This window comes from Homo sapiens, chromosome 9, assembly GCF_000001405.40.
Source record: "Homo sapiens chromosome 9, GRCh38.p14 Primary Assembly".
Taxonomy (NCBI): domain Eukaryota; kingdom Metazoa; phylum Chordata; class Mammalia; order Primates; family Hominidae; genus Homo; species Homo sapiens.
The window spans coordinates 27298962-27320511 of record NC_000009.12 but is presented as its reverse complement, the minus strand read 5'-3'; the positions used below and the strand labels follow the sequence as shown (position 1 = coordinate 27320511).

At 40.6% G+C, this 21550-nt stretch overlaps 2 annotated features.

Moving 5' to 3' along the window:
* Positions 15959 to 16459: an enhancer, noted in NCBI's record as "H3K27ac hESC enhancer chr9:27304051-27304551 (GRCh37/hg19 assembly coordinates)". NCBI's record gives its function as "activates a minimal SCP1, AML or CMV promoter by ChIP-STARR-seq in naive and primed H9 embryonic stem cells {active_cell/tissue: H9 hESC(naive and primed)}" and the evidence as "EXISTENCE:reporter gene assay evidence [ECO:0000049][PMID:30033119]".
* Positions 16460 to 16960: an enhancer, noted in NCBI's record as "H3K27ac hESC enhancer chr9:27303550-27304050 (GRCh37/hg19 assembly coordinates)". NCBI's record gives its function as "activates a minimal SCP1, AML or CMV promoter by ChIP-STARR-seq in naive and primed H9 embryonic stem cells {active_cell/tissue: H9 hESC(naive and primed)}" and the evidence as "EXISTENCE:reporter gene assay evidence [ECO:0000049][PMID:30033119]".

The window sequence follows — 21550 nt, the reverse complement described above, 5'->3', positions numbered from 1 at the left end:
AACTCTCAATAAACTAGGTATTGATGGAACGTATCTCAAAATATTAAGAGCTGTTTATGACAAACCCACAGCCAGTATCATACTCAATGGGCAAAAACTGGAAGCATTCCCTTTGAAAACCAGCACAAGACGAGGATGCCTTCTCTCACCACTCCTATTCAACATAGTATTGGAAGTTCTAACCAGGGCAATCAGACAAGGAAAGAAATAAAGGTTATTCATATAGGAAGAGAGGAAGTCAAAGTGTCTCTGTTTGCAGATGACGTGATTGTATATTTAGAAAACTGCGGTAGCTCATGCCTGTAATGCCAGCACTTGGGAGGCCAAGGCGGGCAGATCACGAGGTCAGGAGATTGCGACCATCCTGGCGAACACTGTGAAACCCCGTCTCTACTAAAAATACAAAAAAAATTAGCCAGGCTTGGTGATGGGCGCCTGTAGTCCCAGCTACTCAGGAGGCTGAGGCAGGAGAATGGCATGAACCTGGGGGGCGGAGCTTGCAGTGAGCAGAGATCGTGCCACTGCACTCCAGCCTGGGCAACAGAGCGAGACTCCGTCTCAAAAAAAAAAAAAAAAAACAAAGAAAAAAAGAAAAGAAAACCCCATCGTCTCAGCCCAAAATCTCCTTAAGCTGATAAGCAACTTCAGAAAAGTCTCAGGATACAAAATCAATGTGCAAAAATCACACGCATTCCTATACACTAAAAATAGACAAACAGAGAGCCAAATCATGAGTGAACTCCCATTCACAATTGCTACAAAGAGAATAAAATACCTAGGAATACAACTCATAAAGGATGTGAAGGACCTCTTCAAGGAGAACTACAAACCACTGCTCAAGGAAATAAGAGAGGACACAAACAAATGGAAAACATTCCATGCTCATGAATAGGAAGAATCAATATTGTGAAAATGGCCATACTGCCCCAAGTAATTTATAGATTTAATGCTATCCCCATCAAGCTACCATTGACTTTCTTCACAGAATTGGAAAAAACTACTTTAAATTTCAGAAGGAACCAAAAAAGAGCCTGCATAGCCAAGACAATCCTAAGCAAAAAGAACAAAGATGGAGGCATCACGCTACCTGACTTCAAACTATACTACAAGGCCACAGTAACCAAAACAGCATGGTACTGGTGCCAAAACAGATATATAGACCAATGGAACAGAACAGAGTTCTCAGAAATAACATCACACATCTGCAACCATCTGATCTTTAACAAAACTGGCACAAACGAGCAATGGGGAAAGGATTCCCTATTTTATAAATGGTGTTGAGAAAACTGGCTAACCACATGCAGAAAACTGAAACTGGATCCCTTCCTTACAACTTATACAAAAATTAACTCAAGATGGATTAAAGACTTGAAGGTAAGACCTAAAACCATAAAAGCCCTAGAAGAGGGCCAAGCATTGTGGCTCACACCTGTAATCCCAGCACCTTGGGAGGCCGAGGCAGGCAGATCACAAGGTCAGGAGATTGAGACCATCCTGGCTAATACGGTAAAAGCCTGTCTCTACTAAAAATACAAAAAAATTATCCAGGTGTGGTGGCGGGCACCTGTAGTCCCACCTACTCGGGAGGCTGAGGCAGGAGAATGGCGTGAACCCAGGAGGTGCAGCTTGCAGTGAGCCAAGATCGCGCCACTGCACTCCAGCCTGGGCGACAGAGTGAGACTCCGTCTCAAAAACAAAACAAAAAAAGCCCTAGAAGAAAACCTAGGCAATACCATTCAGGACATAGGCATGGGCAAGGACTTCATGACTAAAACACTAAAAGCAATGGCAACAAAAGCCAAAATTGACAAATGGGATCTAATCAAATTAAAGAGCTTCCGCACAGCAAAAGAAACTATTATCAGAGTGAACAGGCAACCTACAGAATGGGAGAAAAATTTTGCAATGTATCCATCTGACAAAGGGCTGACATCCAGAATCTATAAGGAACTTAAACAATTTTACAAGAAAAAACCAAACAACGCCATCAAAAAGTGGGTGAAGGATATGAACAGACACTTCTCAAAAGAAGACATTTATGCTGCCAACAAACGTGAAAAAAGCTGATCATCACTGGTCATTAGAGAAATGCAACTCAAACCACAATGAGGTACAATCTCACACCAGTTAGAATAGTGATCATTAAAAAGTTGGGAAACAACAGATGCTGGAGAGGATGTGGAGAAGTAGGAATGCTTTAACACTGTTGGTGAGAGTATAAATTAGTTCAACCATTGTGGAAAACAGTGTGGCGATTCCTCAAGGATCTAGAAGCAGAAATACCATTTGACCCAGCAATCCCATTACTAGGTATATACCCAAAGGATTATATATCATTCTACTATAAAGACTCAAGCACATGTGTGTTTATTGCAGCACTGTTCACAATAGCAAAGACTTGGAACCAACCCAAATGCCCATTAATGATAGACTGGATAAAGAAAATGTGACACATACACACCATGGAATACTATGCAGCCACAAAAAAGGATGAGTTCATGTCCTTTGCAGGGACATGGATGAAGCTGGAAACCGTCATTCTCAGAAAACTAACACAGGAACAGAAAACCAAACACCACATGTTCTCACTCATAAGTGGGAGTTGAACAATGAGAACACATGGACACAGGGAGGGGAACATCACACACTGGGGCCTGTCAGAAGGTGGGGGGCTAGGGGAGGGATAACGTTAGGAGAAATACCTAATGTAGATGAGAGGTTGATGGGTGCAGCAAACCACCATGGCATGTGTATATCTATAACAAACCTGCACGTTCTGCACATGTATCCCAGAACTTAATGTATAATAAAAAATAAGAAATAAATAAAAATGGGCAAAGAAAAAAAACAAGATAACGCACATGAACACATTTGCATTTTAGCAGAAGTTCCTTTATCCTATTACAGAATTTTCCAGGGAGACATCAGGCATATAGTTTAGCTTCTCAACAGATTAATGTTATCCTTTCCTGCGGTAGAATTCAATATTAAGTTTGATGATAACCTGGCTTATAAAGATAATAAAACTGGATCATAGAAAAACTTCACTGATCACAGCAGATAAACCTGGGTTTTAATCTCTGGTTTGCCACTACCATATACCTGTCACATTGGGTAGTTTATTAAACTGTGCCATACCTCAGATTTTAGAACTGCAAACTGGCCTTATGAATTTATTTCTATATAACTTATAGTCATTTTGGGAGAATAAGATAACATATTTGGAACAATAGATGTATATATAAATTCTGTATTTAATTCTGCTATATTAATAATATATTTATAGCTACTCTGTAATACAGATGATTCCAATAACAGCCACTATAGCTAATAGCAATAATAGGATACAGTATCTGATAAAAGCTTTTTATCAGATAAAATGACGCAACAAAGTGATTTATAGACAAAGAGCAATGGGGAATGAGGCTTCTATAAATCACGCATATAAGGAGTTCCTCTGCTTCTCAGTTTCACTGTGTGAAATGTACACCAAAATGTGCCACAGAAGTGGACTATGGACTGAATTTGGCCCACAGGCATGTTTTATTGGACCTATGCAGTTTTGCCCCAATTAGGCTTTTTTTAAAAAGCTAGCTACCATTTATACTTGGGAAATATGACAGATAAAAATCAGGAATCTTGACTTTTCTTACAAAATCAGATTTGGCAAAACCAAGCTTTTGTTACCCTGCGGCTGGACCTGGCTGAGAAGTGGCTGACCCGCTGAAATGGGACATAGCTTTGCTCTCCTCACGGCTCCCCATTGCCTTCCAGACACGCAGCTGACCGTTAGCTACCATTTATCTTCTTGCACTGAGATGCTTCACTCATACACATTTCTTGCCCCTTCCCTGGAGGCTTTTCAGGTTGTAGCCCCTGTTACACCATTTCTAGATAGGCCACCGAGGAAGCCACTATCAATTTTCAAATTTACCCACACACACATTGAATATCTGCTATATTCTTATTTTTTTTTCTAGTAACCAAAATTGTGTTAATGATGAGAAATGAAAAACAGTATTAGGAGACAATAAATTTCAACCAGATGTCTTCAACTCCCTACCCAACAACAAAAATTTATGTTCTCGTAAGAAGCTTACTTCCTCTATAGAAATTAAGATAATTAAATCCATCCAATCTTTTTTTTTTTTTTTTTTTTTTTTGAGACGGAATCTCGCTCTGTCGCCCAGGCTGGAGTGCAGTGGCATGGTCTCGGCTCGCTGCAAGCTCCGCCACCTGGGTTCACACCATTCTCCTGCCTCAGCGTCTCCAGTAGCTGGGACTATAGGTGCACGCTGCCATGCCCGGCTAATTTTTTTGTATTTTTAGTAGAGATGGGTTTCACTGTGTTAGCCAGGATGGTCTTGATCTCCTGACCTCGTGATCTGCCCGCCTCGGCCTCCCAAAGTGCTGGCATTACAGGTGTGAGCCACCGTGCCCGGCCAAATCCATCCAATCTTTTAATTATCCCAAATACATAAGCTTCAACTCTGCTTCCACAGAAACTTATCTGTGACAAAATTATAAATAAATGTCGCTGAAAAGCAATGGTAGCATCATTGTAATAATTATATATTTTATCTGGTTTTACTTCTCTTTCATTGTGTAATAGATTTTAGCAAAACATGTTATTTTAACTAAAACTTCTCATTGTTTTAATGCAACACTCATCATCTAATTGAGTTTTCATGAACATGAAAACCAAGCAAAAATCCCTGATTTGATAGATTAAAAACTAAATGAGGAAGTCAACTTCAATCTAATTAAACATTGATTTTGTTTGCAACTATATTACTGCATACCAAATTAAGTTGAGTGTCTACTCCAGAGGAAGTCATATGATTGAGATTTGACTTCGTATTATCAAATCAGCAAAGAATAAAAGTCTAAGCAGTTTTGAGAAATATATAGAACATGGAGGAAGATGAATATCAACAATCCTGTTTATTAACTCACAAACAACATTATGGATAGGTATTTTCCATGACTGTGTATATGTATGTCTCTGCAATGTATGTATTTGGTATGGCTGAAAACTGCTTGTTAGCTGATATCTGTAGAGGCAACAGCATTTAGGAAATTCCTAAACTGTGACTTGTCTATCTAGAGGCTAATTATCTCAATTATCTATCTCACTTAAGGCTGTCTTAATCAGAAGTATAATCACATAAACGTATAACAGGGATGTTTGGCCCACATGAGTCTTGGGAAGGCAAAACCTTGGTAAAGATGCTTAGTAGTTTTATTTTAGTCAAGAGGAAATTTAGCAGGAAAAGTTCATATTGGCTGGAAAATGAGGAACTGGGCTACCCACCGATGTCTGGTTGAGTCTCTTTTCCACTCACAACCCTGCAATACTATGCTACTCTTTTCCTCAAACTAAAAGCCTGGGCTCCCACTGCTCTTCCCCTTTCCCTCCAGCCCCTCTGGCCTCCTGGCTGGCCTTGAACATGCTGGGTATGTGCAGTGGCTGTTCCCTGCCTTGGATGCTGTCCTCCCAGATAGCCACACTTCCAGCTCTGTCTCTCTTTCAAGTCTTCTCATGTCACCTTCTCAGTAAGACCTCTATGATCACACTTGCCCACCAGAACTCACGGTCCCTCTTTCTTTGCTCTACTTTTCTTTTTCCCATAGCACTTACAGAATTTATTTCTTTATTAGGTTTCTTGTTTACTGTCTGTCTCCCCCAACTAGAAAATAAATCCCATGAGATCAGAAATCTGTCTATTTTGTTTATTGATGTATCCCAGGCACGTAGAACATAGGGTCTGGCTCATAGTAGATGATCAATAAATAGTTGGTGGATGAATGAGTACACATGGCAGATGGGTGCCTAATTAAAATCTATTACCAGGGAAAGATTAATTTGAAGTAATATATAAGAATAATATTAATTTAATGATATTAACACCCAAAGCTTACATATCAACTAAATGCTATTGAGCGCTCACTATACACTAAGTACACACTAAGTGTTTTACATGAATAATCTCATGTAATATTCATGGCAACCCCATGAGGTTGATCATCTATTTTTACCCCCATCTTATAGTCCAGGTTACTAAGTGATTTGTCCAAAGTCAGAAGCAAGAAAGTTATGGAGCAAGATTTAATGCCACATAAGTGTGTTCCAGAGACCACACTCTTAACTGTAGGGCGTAGATACCTTCACCCTTTTGGCACTGGGCACTCTTTCGGATTGTCTCCCTCTCGTTGGACACAAGCCCCATGTGGTTTAGCGATTCAGTCTTCGGTTTCTTTTCTGGCCATTTGTTACTGTAGTTTCATTAGTGCTTCTAATGATCAGTCCATCTGAGATCATACTGTATTTCTTTTCAAAAGCTGCACATTCAAGATAACAGAGGGTACCCTGAGTCAGAGATTAGGTGAGACAAAGGATCTAACGGGGGACACCAAAAAGGTCAGATTGACCAGTCCACAGAGTGTTGACTGACACAAAGTTAAGGCCAGAGGTGAAAGTGGAGTCCCTAAATTGGCAAGAGACAGAAAGACAATCTAAAGTCCGCTATTCAGGGTAGGAGCAGGGTGTTCCTATGATCACTCGAAAAGGGACCTAGGAAAGTTCTAGGTCTAGCTCCCTGCTGTGAAATAGAAATGAAGCATGCATTTCACTCACAGGAATATAAGCGGACTTTTAAGAATTAATAAACAGAAATACTCAAAGCAGAAGATATTATCTTCTAGTCAATATGAATTAATAGTTGCAAAACTATCACAGTTAATTTTTGCTAATTTTCCTTCTCTACCAAAGAAATTAACTGGCATTCATTATTCAGCCGTAATGTAAAATATCTGAGCACATGAATAATTAGAAATATGCACTCAAAGGCTAGAGCAATGTGTGGTTGTAAGATTTATTAATGCCTATATTCCATTAACTATATTTAGAAATCAGTAGGGATTGCATTACATGTTAAAAGCAGCATCTATTCGATTGACCTGACTTGTGTAGCTTCCTTTAAGGTCACTGGAAGTTATGCAGACCATAAATGTTCTCTGGTTCCTGGTTCCATCAGGAGATCTTTAATATGTTAGGATGTAATTCAGGCGTATGTTTTAAAACTTGGTGAAATATGCTGTGATGAAATGAATGTCTCTTACTTTCCCATTCCTAGGGCTTTGTCGACAAACAATTCAACTACAGAATACAGAAGGAGGCAGCTCATTAAGAGATGGGCAGGTGGAGAGTGAATTTTTTTACTGTTAAGTCATTAAAGTCAGCCATGACTTAACCACGGATGTTAAAGAAAATTTATGCAAAAAGCAAGCTCATTTCACACTTCCATAAACAATATGTAGCTCAAACCTTAGCATGAGCTTCCTGAGGTTGTGCAGATAGCATCAGGTGTAGCTTTCGTATTAAGCACCAGCAGGGCATTATATGGACAATGAATTCAGCAAAACCTTGTGAATTTATAGGTTTGAAATAAAGGAAATAAAAAATTTCAAGTCCAGAAAGTCACTAACAGCCATAAACCAGTTAATATCTATCATCTGCATTCAGAAGAAGGAATGTGCTACCTTTGGCCTCAGGATATTTAATTGGAATTTGAATTGTTTCTTCTAAGTGATTGGAAAAAGACTATTGTGTGACTTGGATAGAGAAACATAATGGGAAGGTACTTAAGTCCCTCCACTACTGCAAAAAAAAGAGATGATAAATGAAGTGATTTTTAAATGAACATCCTTGGCTGCTCATAGATTCCTGAGTTACTGTGTTAGAAAGGACTAGGAGCAGAGCAGGTGGGTATGCCAAGTGCTTTTTAAAGGAATTAGGGAAGATATTTTAGGGGAAAGAGATACCTGGAATTTATTTACTGAAGGTCCAGTTTGTGCCAAGCACCGTGCTTGGTACTTGACGTGTAGTCCCTCGTCCGATTTTTGTAGTCGTCCATTGAGGGAAGCATTGGTGACAGCAAACATTCTGTAGTCTGTGCAGATAGAGACTGAGCACTGATTGCATGCTGGGAGCAGTGGTGAGCTTAACCAGGGACAATCCCTGCTTTCATATAGAGGTAGGCATTGTGCCAAGCATTTTACTTGGGTCATCTGAATTAATCCTCACCATAAGGCTATGAGGCAGGTATCATTGCTATTATTCCCGTTTTACAGGTCAGACCATGCAGCTGGTTAGTGGTGGAGCTGGGATTGGAACCCAGGCAATCCATCTCCAGAGCCCCTGCTCTTAATCACCATGTTATATTGCCCCCCAACACATGCACACAAACACACTTTATTATTTTTTTTAATTATTCTTTCTTTTAGATTGTTCACTTGCTAAATTGGTTAACAAGGCTTCTTTCATCATGAGGATCATAAAATTAGTTACCCACCCCCGTCCCCTGCCCAAAAGACTAAAGGACCTTGGGAAGTAATGATGAAGAAGTTACACAGGACAAGACAAATGCCTCCTTCATGGTACAGAAAGGGCGGGTCTCATGAAAAAATGTCACGGGAAGTTCAGGTTGTCAAGGGAGAGGAATATGTGGGCTTATTGCCCCTGCTACAAATGTTTCTGACCTGGCCTTGCCTGCAGGAGAAAAGGGAAGAAAGACTGACAAGGGAAGCTCAACCTTCACCAGCTTGATAAGAGCAGTGAGGAGTCCCGGGGCCCTTCATCCCTTGATCCCAGTCAGAGGGGATCACATCATCCCACTTCCCACAGACAGTTTCATTTCTGACCAGACCATTGTCTTCCAGGGAAGACTAGTATATCCCGAGGGGAGGAAATAAATGCTGTCTCCTCATTTTTGGCAATGGAAATATGCAAGACTGGGAAGCATGTAGGGAAATTCAATCTAATTCAGTAAATATTTGCATCACTACTATAGCTGGGCACTCTTCGTCAACATAGTAATATCAGGCTCTTAATCAATATAGTAGGTTCTTAGTAAATATAGGCTCTCAGTCAATATAGTAATTTATCTGCAAATGCTATCATTGCATAGACTTCACAGTTTCCGTGGCCAAATAAGTTTGCAAAATACCAGGTAAAACATTAAAAAAGGGCTTTTTGCTAGAGTACTCTTGAAGCCTTCAGGGTAACGTGCACCATGACTGTCCAAAAGAGGAATGTAACATTTTGTGCAAATGCAGTTGATGACAGGAGCTTTTTATAGATCATTTTGTGGCATTGCAGTTTGATGCAACATATTTGGGCATGAGGTCTTTATTAGGTCTCAGTAACAACATGAATGATGGATATTACCCTCATGAATAGAAGAGCCCCAAAAGTGATTCTTGGCTTTTAGGGATATCTGTTTACAAACTGTTCAGTTCCAAATACTAACCATTGTAATTACAGGAGTTTTTCTCAGGATGTATTGAGAAGGCTGGCTACCTCTCTGTGATTTTCAGACACAGAGGAGAGGAGTATTGGAGGCCTCTCAGAGTCTGTTTGTCTTAGAGTCAGTGAATGATTTCAGGGCTTTACGCTATTAAAAAAGCATCTCCAGATAAGGGGTCCTAAGACAGGAGAAATATTTGCACTGCTTTCCATTATTATAATCACAAGCTGGGGATGTGATTATAATATTCTACCTTAGCACAGAAAACAAAAGTTGGCAACAGCTTCTAGAGTACACAAAAGGGAAGTCTCCAGAATGACAGTCCAACGATAAGAGGAGTGAGCCCAGAATAGGGCCTTGTCCTAGTTTTAAACAGTGTACCAAGGGCAACAAGAAAATGGGCGCCAGTCTCAAAAGTGAGATTAAAAAAGCTGCCCTCAGGCATTGGTGAGTGTAACAGAAGACAAGGTCTTTGAAGGAGTCCTCAAAATCTCCCCAGGGGAGGTTAGAGGAGGTTGGGAAACAATGGTAGGCTGGAACTAGCTTGTAATCCTGAGAGCTGATTAATGAATTTGCAAGAATTCTGCAAGCCAGATATTAAACACAGCCATTATTAAAAATAAATTATATAACTATACAATTAAATAAAGCATATTTTAAAATACAGGTAATAAATACTCAAAAGTTGACATTTCCTAATTATTTTACAATTATCTATGCTCAAGCTTATTTACATCCATTATGTGTGTATGATAGAAATGTTATATAATGCTGTGTTACTGGCTCATCTTTCCCCAACTCCGGATTCAGTGACATTATGTTGGTAGCCCAGAATCAGGTATGGTGGAGATACTTACAACATGAAAATTGGCAAATGCTACAGATCAAAACTTTTCTTTTTCTTTCTGTTTTTTTTTTTTAATTAGACAGCCAGTTAAACACTCACTAACACTCTTTTTTATGTAAAGCTGGTTTCTTTTTAAACTTAAAAAATGTTTTTAATTGACAAATAAAATTGTAGTACTTATGGGGTACAATGTGATGTTTTGATGATAATATGTATATATTGTAGAATGGCTAAATCAAGCTAATTAACATGTATATTGCCTCACATAGCACTTTTTCATAGTGAGAACACTTAAAAATCTCTCTCAGTAATTTTCAAGTGTATGTCATTATTAACTACACAACGTGGCGTAAAATAGGTCTCTTGAACTTATTCTTCTCCCTAGCTGAAATTTTGTGTCCTTTGACCAGCATCTCCCCAGTACCATCCCCCACCACCAGCCCCTGATAACCAACATTCTCTTCTCTGCTTCTGTGAGTTTGACTTTTTAAGATTCCACATATAAGTGAGATCGGCAGTATTTGTCTTTCTGCACCAACACTTTTAATGGAAAATGACATTTACTGAATGCTGAGCCCTGAGATAACTACTTTCCATAATTAACTCCTTTCAATCTTATAGATTCCTAGGTGCTAGTATCTTAGGTTTACTCTAAAGGAAAGGATGGAGATGTGGTTTTCTTCTTTGTTAATCCTAATATTCTGCTTCTGCAGACCAAAGAGCTGTAGTAATTCACATGGGATGAACAGATATTCAAGGATACACTTTTTTTAGTGACCAGCACCTGCCATCTCTAAGTCCCAGTTAATAATAGATGCTGTTGGTGTCCTGTCCATATCCCTCAGGAGGAAATTACAATTCATCCATGGGCTGTTTACCCTTGAAAATGAATGGGCCCAGGAACAATCCATAATACAAAAGAAATATGCATTATGGATTGGAACCAAGCAGATCTGGGTGGCACAAGTAAGTTAAACCAAGCAGTGGCCCAGACCCATGTCACCTAGTTATGTTGCCCCAATGCCTCTCTCTCAGCTTACAGTTATGATCTTATCCAGGACTCCCTACAAACAACTAAGGAGAAAAAAATTCAAGCCTCATTCATAGATGGGTCAGATCAATAATATGCAAGCCAAACATTCCTTGTAGCTCCACTGCTTCCCTATTGCTCCACTCAGTGTGACCCTGGAAGACAGTGATGCGGGAGGGAGTGGCATCCCAATGCGCAGATTTTCAAGAAGTGCTCCTGGCTATCAACTTTGCATGGAATGCAAAGTGAATTAATTGAGTTTAGTTTCAGGCCCACGTCCTTTGTGTGATCTTTCAGGTCCCACCATAGGTAATTACAAGGCTTTGCCTGGCAAGCTTCACCCCTCACACCAAACTTAGCACACAGCCAGAGCTTTTCAGTTTCCTGGAGGGAGTTGCAGTCAAGGACTCATTCATCCCCTGCGGGCTATATGCATATGAATACTTACAGTCCTAGTGCAGGTGTCACCATTTGTAGGCCTCCTCATCAGGGGCCCTTAACTAAGGAACTTTTCTCCACTTGACTCAGTACTTTTTTATACCTAGCCCTTCTCCTTAGATGAGGAGATGTGATGGCAAACAGTAAGGGGATCTAGAATGTGTGATAAAGAGCTGACATATGTCAAATATGGACCCAGATCCAACTTCAGCATTAGGGACTACACTTTATCTACTGGCCCTTATGTGGTGGGTCTCTTTTCAGAAACTGTGATTGGCTAATACCTTTAAGAGTCTTTGACAGCACTGAAGTAAACTCTGAACACTGATCAAGCTGCAATAATGATGTAATTGTGTTTTAGGATGGGGTCCAGGATAATGAATGAGGATGGTCCCTGAAGGCCTTACTGTGGGTCTTGTGAAAGAGAGCTAGGTCTTCCTCTTTCATAGTGGGATTCAGTAGGCATCACTTAATTCTGAAAGCCCAAAGCTATTATATTGGCGTGTTAGGAGAGATTTGGATGCAAATAACCAAAGAATAAGCTGAAGCACTGAAGATTTTTCTGGAAGATATAAATGAGGGGTACCTGGGACACAACTGTTGTTGGTAGCAAAATTTGTTAAGATGCTTGTCTCCTTAAATTGTATGCACATTTAATTTTGAGTAAAATTTTTAAAAGGAATCAGCGATGGGATAGAGGGAACTTAATGTGGGGTGTGTGTGTAACTGAGCAGCTAAGGGCTTGAGTGTAGCAGACGCTGTCATACCCCACTTTTATCCCCTTGACACTCCATTCTTGTGAGTACAAAAGGCTCTTTACTAGAAACATCTGCAACTATGAACCTGAGGGCTTGCCTGGACACAAGGAGATGCCCAGCTCGTACATAGGTGTTCCACAGTGGGCAGGCCTATGAAAGCCTACCCCAAAGTCTGAGGAAGCTGAGAGGCTGAAGAAAGAGTCTGATAAATACAGTTTCTTAGAAAGAAACATTTAAAAGGCCTTACAAACAGAAGCCATGTTTGCGTCTCAGGCCACCGCAAGACAAGATGGTGGATCCCCGCACCATTACCCCCAAGACCAAAGGCTTATACACCACAGGGAGAAAATTGGTTCAGCACAGATTTGTAGGACAATTGAAGTATGATAACATCAAAGTTATTTGACCTAAGGGAAGGATTTATGGTAAGTACTTGCTCTTACACGAGGAACAATAGATAAACTGGAAATTTTAGAGGCCTTTCCAGAATGTTGGTCAATCAGAAGCCAAAGTGGCAGATTAGCTTCCAAGATGGAGTTGCTTCAGCCTTCACAATGGGTCAGACTGGAAGAGATAGGGAGATGCCCCAAAGTGGTAGAAAGGGATCTAGACAGGGCACTGACTTTATCCACTGATGTTACTCCTGGGAGATGATCCCCCAAAGCACCAAGAGGCAAAGGGGGAAGTGACAGTGGAAGGAGCATCCCCTGCTGTGGACAACAGGAGCACAGTCCTATGAGGGACCTCTGGGAGATGATGCACACAAGCCTCAGAGTTATGGAGATAACCCCCAGGACACTGTGACCATTGCTAGGACTTCACTTGGTGAACTGGAAAAGTTGCAGGCAGAAGGGATGCACTGGTGCTTGTGAGAGACTTAGGGGAGAAGGTGAGTATGAAGACCCAGGGATCGGTTGGTAGTTGCTGAGTGTTCTTTATGCATTAAGAGGAAAATGACAGGTTCCGCTCAGCCAGTTATCAATTTAAGTCCCAACCTGAAGGTCAAAATCTTCATGGCAGCATATAGAGGGACCTGCATCTCCTGTAGTTAGTGAATAGATCCAGGACTAGATTGTCAGCAAAACTTCAGAGAAGACTGAATCTACAGCCTTGGCAAGTCTCTTATACCAAAATCAAGGCCCTGATAAGGAAGAAGTGGATCATGAAATGTGGAATAAGTATAACTAGGTGGATTTGTTCAACTGCCCCCTTGTAGAAGTATCCACTGCCCCTTTACCAAAAGATAGCACCTTCCCCCTTCCCTGAAGACTATGCAGAGGTCTCAGCTGAGGTGGCTTTATGCCCTGCAAGATGATACTTGATTTCTTTAGATATGCTGTCATCTCCTCCCTTGGCTACTAGATTAATAACTCAGGTCAAGTCTCAGCATGGCCTGATTAGGAAAGTACTGGTCCTGATATGGAAGGAATGATCCATTCGGCTAAGAAAGAGCAATAAAAATAGGAGGACATGCATGGGAATATATCTTAAACTGGTGCTTGACCAAGGGAGATAGAATATGAGGCTGGCTGGCTAAGAGAGTAGATTTGTGGGGGCATATTCTCAGGGCATAAGATTTAATGCCTTAATATACTGCTGGGATGGTTACTAGATGCTCAGAAAAACTCTGTTCCACAACTTTATGTTTCGTGAGTGTGGAAGCCCTGGTTCTCAGGGAGGAGACATTTCCATCAGAACATGGGAAGAATCCCACTAACCCTAAAGCTGTTAATGCTGCCTGGTCATTTAGGGCTCTTCATGCTAATAGACCAGCAGGTAAAAAGAGTTACCATACCGGCAGAGGTAATTGACCCTGACCATCCTGAGGAGCTAGGGTTGCTGCTACATAAGAGGGGCAGAGAGGAGTCTGGTCAGAACTCCATGTTAACTATAAATGAGCAATTACAACAACTGCAGCCTAAGTCATAGAAACCAAGACCCCAGCTGAGCAGACTAAACCATCAGAAGCTACCTTCTAGAACCAATTGTAGGGGACACAGATGATAAATGCTCATTATGGCCTCTGGACTGCCACAGCAATGAGAATTGTAGTTCTCCCATAACCCTCCTCTTAGAAGTTTTTCCCCAGAAGTTGTTACAACCATCATTCATCTTGAAGAATCCGTGACAGGATACAAGCGGATCTGATGAATCTGAGCAACACAAGGGGTGGGCTGTAGCGGATGTCAGCATCTTCCCACATCTCCCCAAACCTGTCTTTATCATTTTTAGGTACACCTGTCATCAGTCTGTTTAACTTCCAAAGCTAGCACATAGAACTCTTTCTTGGAGAACTGCCCTCAGATTCCCATAGCACACAGAAAGACCCAGAGGAACCTGGAAATTTAACTCCCCTGGGTAGCCCTTAACCACTGTCTGACATCAACATGGGATGACAGACTCAGCTCCCTTACTTTGGGCTGGGGCGATTCCGAGGCATGACTTTCCCTCCAAAATTTTCTTGAAGGATCAGGTTAAATTTCCCCTCTGTGAGACCTTGCCTAAGACTGCTCTCCTGCTTGGTGTCCTCTTTCCCTGTCCTGCTTCTTCAACTGCCTTACTTGCTTCCTATAGGAGCACTTCCTTAATCAATCACTGGTTCTCACATCCTAGTTTTGGAATCAGCTTCTAGAGGAGCCCAATCTAAGACACTTGCCAATATATACTTAACAGCATCACTTCAATTATCAACCCATAAAAATGTCCTCTTAAATTAAGCTTCATCACTCAAGGAAGCATCACAGGTATTTTTCCAGGGGTAAACAGACTTTTAAAGAGCTAGTTGTTATTTCATATTTTACAGATGAGGAAACTGAAGATCAGAGAAGTTAAACTATCATGCCATGGTCACGTATAACTAGAAAGTAATGGTGTTTGTAGTCAAGCTACATTTTATTTTTCTTTAGAATGCATGCTTCTCAACTTCACCACATGGCCTAGAAAGGAGAACAGTATACTCTTCATGTCCTGAGAAGATAATGACCTAACTCTAGTAGAAATAGTAATGAAAAGGAAGCGGTGGATATAAGCATGTCTCAAAGAAGGGAAGCCATCTGATTAGCTGTGGAGTAAGAAGCAAGGGATTAAGAAAAGTCACCTATGATACTTTATCTTCCAGCCTGGGAGACTGGAAAGTTGAGAGAAGAAGCTTATGTATATGCACATGAGGGAAGAGCCAGAAAAGGGCACAGAGCCAGGTAGAGTAGAGGCATAATATGTCTGTATTTGATCTCATCTCTAGGTTTAGAAGCTTTTGGAAAAGAATAATTTTGCCCATTTATGTGCAAATTTCCAGCATCCATTCTTATACCAATCATGTCTGGTAATTACAGAGATGTGATTTGCATTAGGGCCAGATGCAGGGATCTATTCACACAAAGAAGACACCTGATAATTACAAGAGTTCAAATGCAGCCAATCAGTGAATACAGACTGGAGAAAGCAACAATTGCCAATGGAAAGCTTGCCAAAACAGACTAGTCTGGCTGAGAGAAGAAGAAAAAGGCTTTTATTTATAAAAAGTATAAAATAAATTGCACCCCCCCCTTTTTTTGTCTCTACCTTTCATAGAAAGATTGTCCTGAAACGCAGACTCCCTCTTTTAATGAGATTCTGGAAAGACAAAATAGCTGATTAGCCCCAGCATTTGAGAAGAAAGATTTGTCGAAATTATTTTTAGAAAATTAGCACCAAAGCCAAACAGTCTCCCTTTCTGCATTTTCATGATCTCTGCATTTATTTTCATGGCCTCTCCTTTACCTCCTGCCCATTACTCTACAAATCTCTAGGCTCCTTCTCTCACCTTCTAGTTTTCACAAACTGAAACCAGACTGCTCTTTCTAAATCCAAGACCTGGTGATGACACTTTTCCTTCCCCATTCTTCCTCGGAATCCTTCAATGGCAGCCCATCCCTACCTGAATAACCTAAACTCCTCCCTCCAGAGAGACCCAAGTCAGGCTTTTCATAGGTTATGAAAAATGACCAACAGGGCCAGGCATGGTGATTCACGCCTGTTATCCCAGCACTCTGGGAGGCCGAGGCAGGCGGATTACCTGAGGTTAGGAGTTCGAGGCCAGCCTGGCTAACGTGGTGAAACCCTGTTGTAAAAATACAAAAATTAGCCGTGCATGGTGGTGGGCGCCTGTAATCCCAGCTACTGGGGAGGCTAAGGCAGGAAAATTGCTTGGACTGGGGAGGCAGAGGTTGCAGTAAGCCAAGATCACGCGGCTGCACTTTAGCCTGGGTGACAGAGTGAGACTCTGTTTCAAAAAACAAATAGAAAAAAGAAAATGACCAACAGTCCTTTCTTTCATGGGCTTCTAGATTTTTTAATTCTGTGGGCTAGAAAGTTTAAAATTAAAGAAAAGTGATTTATAGATGCAACTGTCTATTACCACCCTTATCCCATAGAAGAAAACATTTTAACACCTAAAGAGTAGAAAAGGTAAAACTAAAATAAAAGTCCTTTAGGTTCCCCTAAAGCTTCTGTGTCTTAGAGGGAACACTGGCTGACGCTATTTGGTTGTAATACAGTTGTTTGAAATAGGTATTTGCTGTTTAAGGAACAGGGAACTATTTTTGTTGTTTGTTGCTGTTGTCTTCTCCCTGGGGCATTCTGAGTGCCTGGAAGCACTTGATTTGCTTGTGCAGTCCAGCCCTTAAATGCCTGGTCATTCTCAGTGTGATCCTGCATCCCAGCCCCTGTCGCCTGACCCGGCAATGAGTCAGCCAGCCCCAGAAGAGGGAGGGCAGAGAGAGACACACACCCAGCCTGTGCTGTTGCCGCTGCCCCCGAGGTGACTTGATGATAACTCCTGCAACTCCCCCAATAGAGGAGAAATGACTCTCTTTTCTTCAGGCCGTGAGACTTCTCCACACCCACTTCTCTCTCTTCTTGCCCAACCTGCTTAGAATACGGAGAAACTGGAACCATTAAAGTCTCTTCTTTGGCTCAGGATCCTTCCTTTTCTCTCCAATGGGTGGTCTCACGAGGAAGTCAGGCAGCAATAGAGATTGTTTGTGTGCAAGCCACAGTCTGTGTTTCTGTCTAAATATCTCTAGAGGAACAATTAGCTGCTCCGTACCTAGAACTACACAATGCGTTTGTTTTGTTTTGTTTTGTTTTGTTTTGTTTTGTTTTGTTTTGAGACGGAGTCTCGCTCTGTCTCCCAGGCTGGAGTGCAGTGGTGCGATCTCGGCTCACTGCAAGCTCCGCCTCCCGAGTTCACGCCATTCTCCTGCCTCAGCCTCCCAAGTAGTTGGGACTACAGGCGCCCGCCACCATGCCTGGCTAATTTTTTTTTTCTTTGTATTTTTAGTAGAGACAGGATTTCACTGTGTTAGCCAGGATGGTCTCTATCTCCTGACCTGCGATCCGCCCGCTTCGGCCTCTCTAAGTGCTGGGATTACAGGCTTGAGCCACCGCGCCCGGCCGTAGTGAGTTCTTAATTAGAATAATACTCATCGAATCTGAGTTGGATATTAAAAAAGTAAAGAGAGATGGGGGCTGCTGGATGATGAGTGAGTGAAGAGGTCAGGAAATGTGAGACATCTAAGGGATTGAAGAACAAGGATGTCAGGTGTATCCAGAGTAGAGAGCTGCCAGGATGGAAGGATGTGGCAGAAGGTGATTTGTCTGAATGTAAGTTTCCAAAGTGTTCCAGCTATTTATTGCTGCATTGCAAAGTATGCTGAAACTTGGCGACTTAAAGCAATACCCACTTTAACATATCTCATGCTTTTGTGGGTCATGAATTCAGGCAGGGCTCAGCAGGGCAATTCTTCTGAATGATGTAGCTAATCATTTATTTTCTTTTATGCACTATGTAAACTTACTACTCAGATTTAAGGAAAATAATATTCAAATTAATTTTTTAAGCACAGTTTTTGGGCTTATATTAATGGACTGTGACAACTAATTTATACCTTGTGGAATTTATCTCCATTTAATGAATTCTCTCGAAGACTGGGATGACTCAATTAACATTCTTAATATTCTTTAAAAATATGTTTTAGGCCATTATATAAAATTGTGTTATTTATGGATGCGGTGGCTCATGCCTGTGATCCTAGTGCTTTGGGAGGCCGAGGCAGGCAGATCACCTGAGGTCAGGAATTTGAGACCAGCCTGGCCAAAATGGTGAAACCCCGTCTCTACTAAAAATACAAAAATTAGCTGGGCATGGTGGTGGGCGCCTATAATCCTAGCTACTCGGGAGGCTGAGGCACAAGAATTGCTTGAACCCTGGAGGCAGAGGTTGCAGTGAGCCGAGATTGCACCACTGTACACCTGCCTGGGCGACAGAGTGAGACTTTGTGTAAAAAAAAAAAAAAAAAAAAAATTGTCTTGTTTCTTAGTATGTGTATGTCTTCAACTTCATTCTCTATACTACTTATATGACCTACCCAATAGGATACTGGTGTACTCTGCCTCTTGAAAAAATATGGGTATATGAAAACCTCACCACATCTAATTCTTTTAGACCTGAGGAAAAATTATGTATATAAATCTGTAAAGTAAACAAGTTCAGCCCAATAAATGGGTCTTAAATAGTACTGGCTGTGAAACTTAATTTTCCCATTTTTCAGATGAGTGAAAGTTCAGGGTCAGAGAAGAGATGATTTGCCCATGATCATACAGCTAAGAAGTGATGGAGCTAATATCCAAATATATGGCCTCCTACTCTAGGCTTAGTGCTGTTGAGAGAAAAGACACAGAAATGGGAAAGGGCTTGTAATCCAGATGTGGTCAATAAACATGAAATCATTCAGGAAATAAAGTCACAGAGTACAAAGTATATTTAATGACATTCTTGGTATTAGCAAGAGATGCCTTTCAGGGTCTTCTTTAAAGACTTAAAATATGACATTATGTAGAGAAAATAATATACACTTGATTATTTTAAAGAAAAATTTATACTAGATTGTGTTATAGAACATCTACATTTATGGAAGGGCTACATTACAGCCCAAAATTATAACCTCCAGAGAGGACACGTTCAATTTTAGTTTGCATAATCTCTTCTATTTGTCTATTCTATACATTTGCTAGGGCTGCTGTAACCAGAAACGAGTACCACAAACTGAGTAGCTTAAACAACAAATTTATAGTGTCACAGTTCTCGAGGTTACAAGTCCTAGATTAATATATTGGCAGGATTGGCTCCTCCTGAGGGGCATGAGGGAGAATCTGTTCCATGCCTTTTTCCTAGCTTCTGGTGGTTTGCTGGCAATCTTTGATGTTCCATGGCTTCTGCTGTACCTCCCTGATCTCTCCCTTCATCTCCACATAGTATTTTTTCTGTGTGTCTCTGTGTCCAATTCTCCTCCTTTTCATAAAAACACCAGTCATGTTGTGTTGGGGTTTCATCCTACTCCAGTATGACCTCTTCTTAACTAATTATATCTGCAACAACTCTATCTCCAAACGTGGTCACATTTTGAGGTTCTGGGGATTAACACTTCAACATGTGAAATTTGGGGGCATACAGTTCAACCCATAACACCTCTGAAAATATGTTCTAAAAAGAATACTGATCATAGGACAAAGAAAGGTTAACATCATTTTTTTTTTTTTCTTTTTTGGAGCAATAGGTCTCGCTATGTTACCCAGGCTAGTCTCAAACTCCTGGGCTCAAGTGATCCCCCTACCTTGACCTCCCAAAGTGCTGAGATTATAGGCACAAACCACCACACCTGGCCTAAAGTCAATTTTTAAACAAACTTAGTTTCATTAAATCTAATGCTTTTTTTATAAAGCCTACAATATCTGTACTCTACCAATTCAATTACCTAGGAAGAGCATTAGTCACATTAAAAACTAACAATCTTTTGAATATAGGAGGACTCAGTGGAGAAGCTATATGATAAAGAAAATTCCATTCATGTCATTAGAAAATGCTAAGTTGACTTTTTGGCACTTAAGTGCTTCCTGAACTAAATAAAGTGTTTTATTCCCTCATTCATCAAGCACCTGTTATGGGCCACACAGTGTGCCAGCTTTGGGGCACACAGTAGTAAACATGTTTCTCCAGCTAGCACTGACTTCCCCTTTATTGCCAGGGACAGGGGAAATTCCATTGATGCCATCTTCCTCCTGGAACAACTTCTTCCGAGTTTCACCAGGGCTGAGCTATGTCATTCAAAGCTCTAAGGTGGTTTGCAGCAACATGGAGCATGCTTGCTTCAAGTCTCTCTCCTTTTCTATGTGTCACCCTGTTAGAGAGATAACAAAGTAAAGGGCTCCCAAGGCCTGCCAGCTCTTTACTCATATCTCTTTTTTTCGCTTCTCAGCTTTCACTTGAGAATAAGCTAAGGAAGAAAAACAGCTCTACACAGGACCACTTCCCTTTGGCTGACTAAAGCTTTGATGCTAAGCTTTGCTTGCCTGACCATCTTTTCCCTGAGGATAAATCTTCCCAATTTCCTTCCTCCTCCTATGCAATTAGACTCCTGGTGAATCTATCTCCAGTTCACCAGGTGTGTTCAGTAGGGAGTCACAAGTTGGACTTAATTTGTGAGCATTCATTACCCTAAAAAGATTATCAAGTCTTTTTAAAGTCATGCTTTTTTTTCTTGAAGTAATATGTCATCTTGACTATGGATATTCTCTAATGTTGAGAAGCTGTCATCAACAATAATTACATTTGAGAGTGGGGAAGTTAGGTGATCCTATCAGGAAGAGAAATGCTGCCTATTTGATTTGTCTTTATTTCTTATTACTTGAGTTATTGTATAACTAATAATGGATAATATTGCCTATACTTAAGTCCTCTTCTAACTAATTAAATATTAGATTATTTTCTCCACTTGTATGTAAAGTAAAAGATGAGTTTCATGATAAAAATATTTTAAACAAAAAAAGTTTTATATTTTATGAAAAAAATAGGTTTTATGGCCAAAAACCATGAAAAAATGCTCAACATCACTAATCATCAGGGAACTGCAAATTAAAGCCACATGAGATACCACCTTATCCCAGCCAGAATGGCCATTACTAAAAATTTAAAAAAAAAATAGATGTTGCCATGGATATTGGTGAAAAGGGAATGCTTATACACTGTTGGTGGGAATAAAAATTAGTACAACACCTATAGAAAGCAGTATGGAGATTTCTTAAAGAATTAAAAGTAGATCTACCCTTTGCAATCCCACTACTGGGTATCTAC